The sequence below is a fragment of the Homo sapiens genome, chromosome X, assembly GCF_000001405.40.
Source record: "Homo sapiens chromosome X, GRCh38.p14 Primary Assembly".
Lineage (NCBI taxonomy): Eukaryota > Metazoa > Chordata > Mammalia > Primates > Hominidae > Homo > Homo sapiens.
In genome coordinates, this window is record NC_000023.11 from 135381657 (window position 1) to 135387637 (window position 5981).

Here is a 5981-nt window from a genome sequence, read left to right on the forward strand (position 1 = left end):
ATGTGCTTTAGAAAAGTGAGGTAGAGTGTTTAGTTTCTAAGCAAATGGAAATTTAGGGGTTTTGACCTTCATGTAGGGAATACCTAGATTCATGGGTGTACAAACCTGTGCATTTGAACAAAGCCCCATGCTTGGTTTAATGCTTTGCTGTTGGCATCTTGAAATTCTGGATAATTTTTGCAAAAGAGAATTCTGATTTTATTTTGCTCTGGGGTCCTGCAAATTATGTAGCTTTTCCTGACATCAGGTGCATGACACCTCCCTGTGAATGAAACCCATGCATATAGAAGAATAGAATCACCAGAGTTATCTACTGAGAAGAAAGGTCAAAAACCTGAGAAAAAAGGTCAAAAGGATAAAAGTAAAGATCAACAGCAGCACCTACAGTGTACATTTGAGAACATTTTATAATAGTTCATATTTATATTTAGCAATTCCTCCCCTGAAATTATCAAAAGTCTTTGCTTTGATGATTCTTTGATCATCAATGAATTAATCATGTGTGCCCAGAAAAGAAGTGACTTCATATAGGCTGGAAAAGAGCAGAGACCTTTCTGGCAATGCTAGTTAACAGGCGCCCTCCAGCCCATACAGCTGGACAGATCATAGTAAGTCCTGCTGGGCACTGAGCTAAGTCAGCATCCATGTAAAATGTCTTGAATTGGCCAGAAAAGAACATGGCTCAGAGCAAGGAAAAAGCCCTGGGTTCTGGGCCACCACTTGCTTTCCTGCAGTATTACAGAGGTGTAGTTTCCAAAGAGAAGCCCATGTAATCTCTGAGGAAACTTGCTGGCCCTGGGAAAGGAAACAAACAATTAAAGGAAATGATGACAAAAGTCTAGTGTGCTTGAGTGTGCGTGGGGGATGGGAGGTTGTGTAGGAAGAAATACTAAACCAGGCACCATAATGTTCTGCTCCAATATTTGGATTAAGAAAATGGGGAACTAATTATGGATTAAGGAAACAGGGGTACTACCTTCTGTGTGCTGGGCACTTAACAAAGATAATCACACTCAATCCTATAACATCCCTGGTAGCAAGGTATGATTCCCATTTTATGACTGAAGATACTCAGGCTTGAAGATGAAAGTTGGTGAGAATGAGCCAAAGGTCTTTCAAACTCAGACACTGGAGACTTATTGTGAATAAAACATGCTTTGTGGTCTCAGCAATATCTGCAAAGCAAGAAAATGGACAACGATGTATGGAAAGTAAAGATTTTGAGAAGTATTGGCCTACATATTATGTTAATTTCTGGCTTATGCCTCCAGGACCCCTAGCAGAAGCCCACTCCACTCCATCACTACAAGAAGACACTGGCAGACTACCACTCCCCACCATCCACTTGGTCCACAGGTTCCATTTTCCCCTTTTTCATAGATAGAGCTAGCTTTAAATAACATTCCAATCCATGCTGTCACCCCTGAGACAAAGGCACCTGAGCAGCACTCCCACATTCCCTGGACTCCTGAAGTTTGTTTTCTACAATCTCATCCAGTCTACCCTCCTGCTGCTTCCCGCTATGTCAAGCCTTTCCAAAACAAAAAAAAAGATAAAAATAAAGATCAAAACTTTGGTGTTAAAAAAGTCAAAATCAGGTTTATTTGAAATCAGAACAGTCTAAGTTTGTCAATGTCTCTATAACAGTGGCTCCCATAGGGTACATGAGGAACACAAATAAGGACTAGAAAAAGATCCCCCTGTCTAATGAAAGGAACAGGTTATAGAAACAGGGTCTCTATCATGGAATGAGTCAGCAGTACTCAGGGAGTGACTGCCACTGTTGGCAGTCCCTATCTTTAGCATCTCCAGGAAGGGCTTTTCATATCATTGTTAATGATGCACAGGGGACAGGAAGAGGGAACTGCCCTTCACAAAACACCCGTAACCTTGCACACCATAAGGATACCCTGAACTTGTCTAGGTGATCTTGACAAGTGATTCCATTCCACCCTCTTCATATTACAGGCCCATAGGCTCACCGGTACTGGACTTTTCCATCACAGGTTCTACAGGAGATGGTGACTGTATGAATCTGCCAAAAGACTTGCCTGTGGGTGGACAGCCCAGCGCCACTGCAGAAAAATTATGTAACTTGGAAACTCATTTAGGTGAGTGGTTGGGACATACTTCCTCTTTGCTTTATCCAGAGGAACTTCTGAAAATGGTTGTTGACCCCAGGGTACTCAGTCATGCAGCCTGTGCAAAGTAATCCAAAAGAGTGAATGGTAATGCCAAACGATGTAGTAGATTGAATCATGTCCCCCAAAATTCATGTCCATCAGGAACCTCTGAATATGACCCTATATGGAAATAGAGTCTTCGCAAATATAATTAAGGATCTCCTCTCCATGTGCAATCATCCTGGGTTTAGAATGGGCCATGAATCCATTACGGGTGTTCTTCTAAGAAGAGGAGAAGACACAGAGACACCCACAAAGAAGATACACAAAGGAAGATATGTGAAAATGGAGGCAGAGATCGGAGTGATGCATTTACAATCTAAGGAATGCCAAGAATTGCCAATAGCCACCAGAAGCTGGGAAAAGACAAAGAAAGATTCCTCCCTAGAACCTTCAGAGGGAGCATGGCATTGCCGATACCTTGAATTCAGACTTCTGGCCTCCAGAACTGTAAAAGAATACATTTCTGTTGTTTTTAGCCACCCAACTTATGACAGCCTGTTGCGGCAACCACAGGAAACCAATACAGGTAGGGACTGCACGAAAAAAACCACAGTATCAGATAAGATTGCTGCCTCAGAGGCCTAAACACCCCTTACGAAGGAAATATAGTTCATCCTACTTTAATGGAACATTATAGAGTAATTATAAAACATTATACTGAGAAGCAAAGCCACTTATTTGTTAGAAGGGAGAGGTACAAAAGAGTTCAGTTTATTCTTCAGTATCCAGGCTAATGACCCATTCAGAATTATGGGTAACCCTTAAAATGGGGTTTGAGTTCTTACTTTGTTACCAATTACAGACACTCATATACTATGCAAGATTGTGGCTAATAAATTTTTGAAATGGGTTTTATGCGCTTCTTCCTATGTTACCCACTACGACACTTAATGCCATGAAATGCACATGATACAACTGCATTTTATGGTATATTAGTGTCATTAATTAGTAACATAGTAATTTGGAAAATTTCTTACATTAGAAGCAAACTAATAACATTCAAAACAATTTTGTTAAGAATTCCATATTATAAATGGGGTTGCTGCCATCTGACAACAAGCGTAAGCTCTTGGAATAGAAGACAATGGATGAAATTGAACATTCGCTCATATAATATAGGATTTGAGGACTTTGTTCTTAATTGGAAAGTATGCCCCTAGGATCATACTGGAAATGGGGATGCAATTAAAGTGCCTTCAAGCCTGATACCTGGACCTGATTTCCACACTTAGATAATGTTCAAGGTCTAGGGCTCTGACTGAATCCAGGATTTCTGAGGCTAGGTAATGTCACAATTTCTGAAATTTGGGTGACATGGAGTACCAAGGGCAGAGGTGCGCTATGATCCAAGTACCAGCAATCCATCCTTCTCACTTTAAATGTAATCCAGGAAGGTGATATTTGGAGAACACCAATGTTACTTCACTAAAGAAGTCATTGAATTATTTCTACTTGAGCTAACATACATAATGCAAGTCAATATCAAGAATGAACCAGACAAATGCTAATAAGCCAACTTAAATAGAATGATATAAAAGGGAAGAATTCTTGTTTTATCTTAAAGCAAGATTCAGGTTACTGTCAGTAATTATGGTTCTCAGGTTTTTGAAAGAGACAAGAGTTTTCCTTTCTTTCAGTTCTCCCCTTGACTACACGTTAGTTGTCACAAAATGGAGGCATAAATATAAATAGGCACTCAAGGAACTATTTCATCAGCCAATATGTGCACATTGGAAGTATTAAGGCACAGTCAGCACAGAGTGGCCAAAGGGATGGGCCCAGTGAACCCTAAGATAGGGAAGCCTATTCTCACCATTATTTGTCCTGACCAGCCTGACTCCTGACAACTCCCATCCGCCTTGTTTGTAAATAGAAACCATGACAACTCCCATCTTCCTTGTTTGTAAATAGAAACCACCACGCACATCTTTTTATGCAAGATACCTGGGAAAGAGGGTTGAGTCCAAAATTAAAAGAAATACCATTATATTAAATACACAATTATGCTGTCAAATGAAATTCAAAAGTGTACGACATGACCTCCAATAGCCATTCGCTTCCTGAAAACAAAGAGTACTTAATTTGACCATTAATTTCCTCATTTGCAAATTGAACATGTTCTACTTTTCAAAGGGAAATTTACAAAAAAAGAACAAATGGTCAAATTCAATTGAATAACATGACATTCAACATGCAATTGTTTTGGCGAATGAAATGCCAAACTACTTTCAGTGGCACTTCTAGGCATTTGCTGTTATTAAACAACAGGGGCTTGACCAGTCTGATGCTCAATGTGTAAAATTTTACACTGGAAACACCACAAAAAATTTAAATATTTTTAAAAATACTAGTTGTATTACTTAGGGTTCTCCAGAGGAACAAAACCAATAAGGTATAGGGTGTATATATATATATATATATGTGTATATATATATATATATATATATATATATGTGTATATATATATATATATATATGTGTGTATATATATATATATATATATGCCCTAATATATATGTATGTGTGTGTATATGTATACGTGTATACACACATGTACATACATATTAGAGCACATTGTATACGCACAATATAGGATATTTATATATATTTAATATATGATGCATATTATATATAATTTTTAGTATTATATATGTGTGTGTGTATATATATATCGTATTGCTTATATGTGTTATAAGGAATTGCCTAACACATTATGCAGGCTGACAAGTCCCAAGATCTGCAGAGTGAGTCAGCAAGCTTGAGACCCAGGAATGCTGATGGGATATGTGAAAGGAAAATAAATCTTGGGACCCCCAAATCACTGAGCTAAACGGAAAAGTCAAGCTGAGAACTGCTTAGGGCAAACCTGCCTCCCATTCTATTCAAAGTCATCCCTCTGCGTACTGAGATAAATGCATATCTGATTGCCTCATTTGGAAAGGCTAATTAGAAACTCTTTTTTTACTATTATACTTTAAGTTTTAGGGTACATATGCACAACGTGCAGGTTTGTTACATATGTATACATGTGCCATGTTGGTGTGCTGCACCCATTAACTCGTCATTTAACATTAGGTATATCTCCTAATGCTACCCCTCCTCCCTCCCACCACCCCACAACAGTCCCCAGAGTGTGATGTTCCCCTTCCTGTGTCCATGTGTTCTCATTGTTTGATTCCCACCTATGAGTGAGAACATGCAGTGTTTGGTTTTTTGTCCTGTGATAGTTTGCTGAGAATGATGGTTTCCAGCTTCATCCATGTCCCTACAAAGGACATGAACTCATCATTTTTTATGGCTGCATAGTATTCCATGGTGTATATGTGCCACATTTTCTTAGAATCCCACACAATAATAATGGGAGACTTTAACACCCCGCTGTCAACATTAGACAGATCAACGAGACAGAAAGTTAACAAGGATATCCAGGAATTGAACTCAGCTCTGCACCAAGTGGACCTAATAGACATCTACAGAACTCTCCACCCCAAATCAACAGAATATACATTTTTTTCAGCACCACACCACACCTATTCCAAAATTGACCACATAGTTGGAAGTACATCACTCCTCAGCAAATGTAAAAGAATAGAAATTATAACAAACTGTCTCTCAGACCACAGGGCAATCAAACTAGAACTCAGGATTATGAAACTCACTCAAAACCGCTCAACTACATGGAAACTGAACAACCTGCTCCTGAATGACTACTGGCTACATAACGAAATGAAGGCAGAAATAAAGATGTTCTTTGAAACCACCGAGAACAAAGACACAACATACCAGAATCTCTGG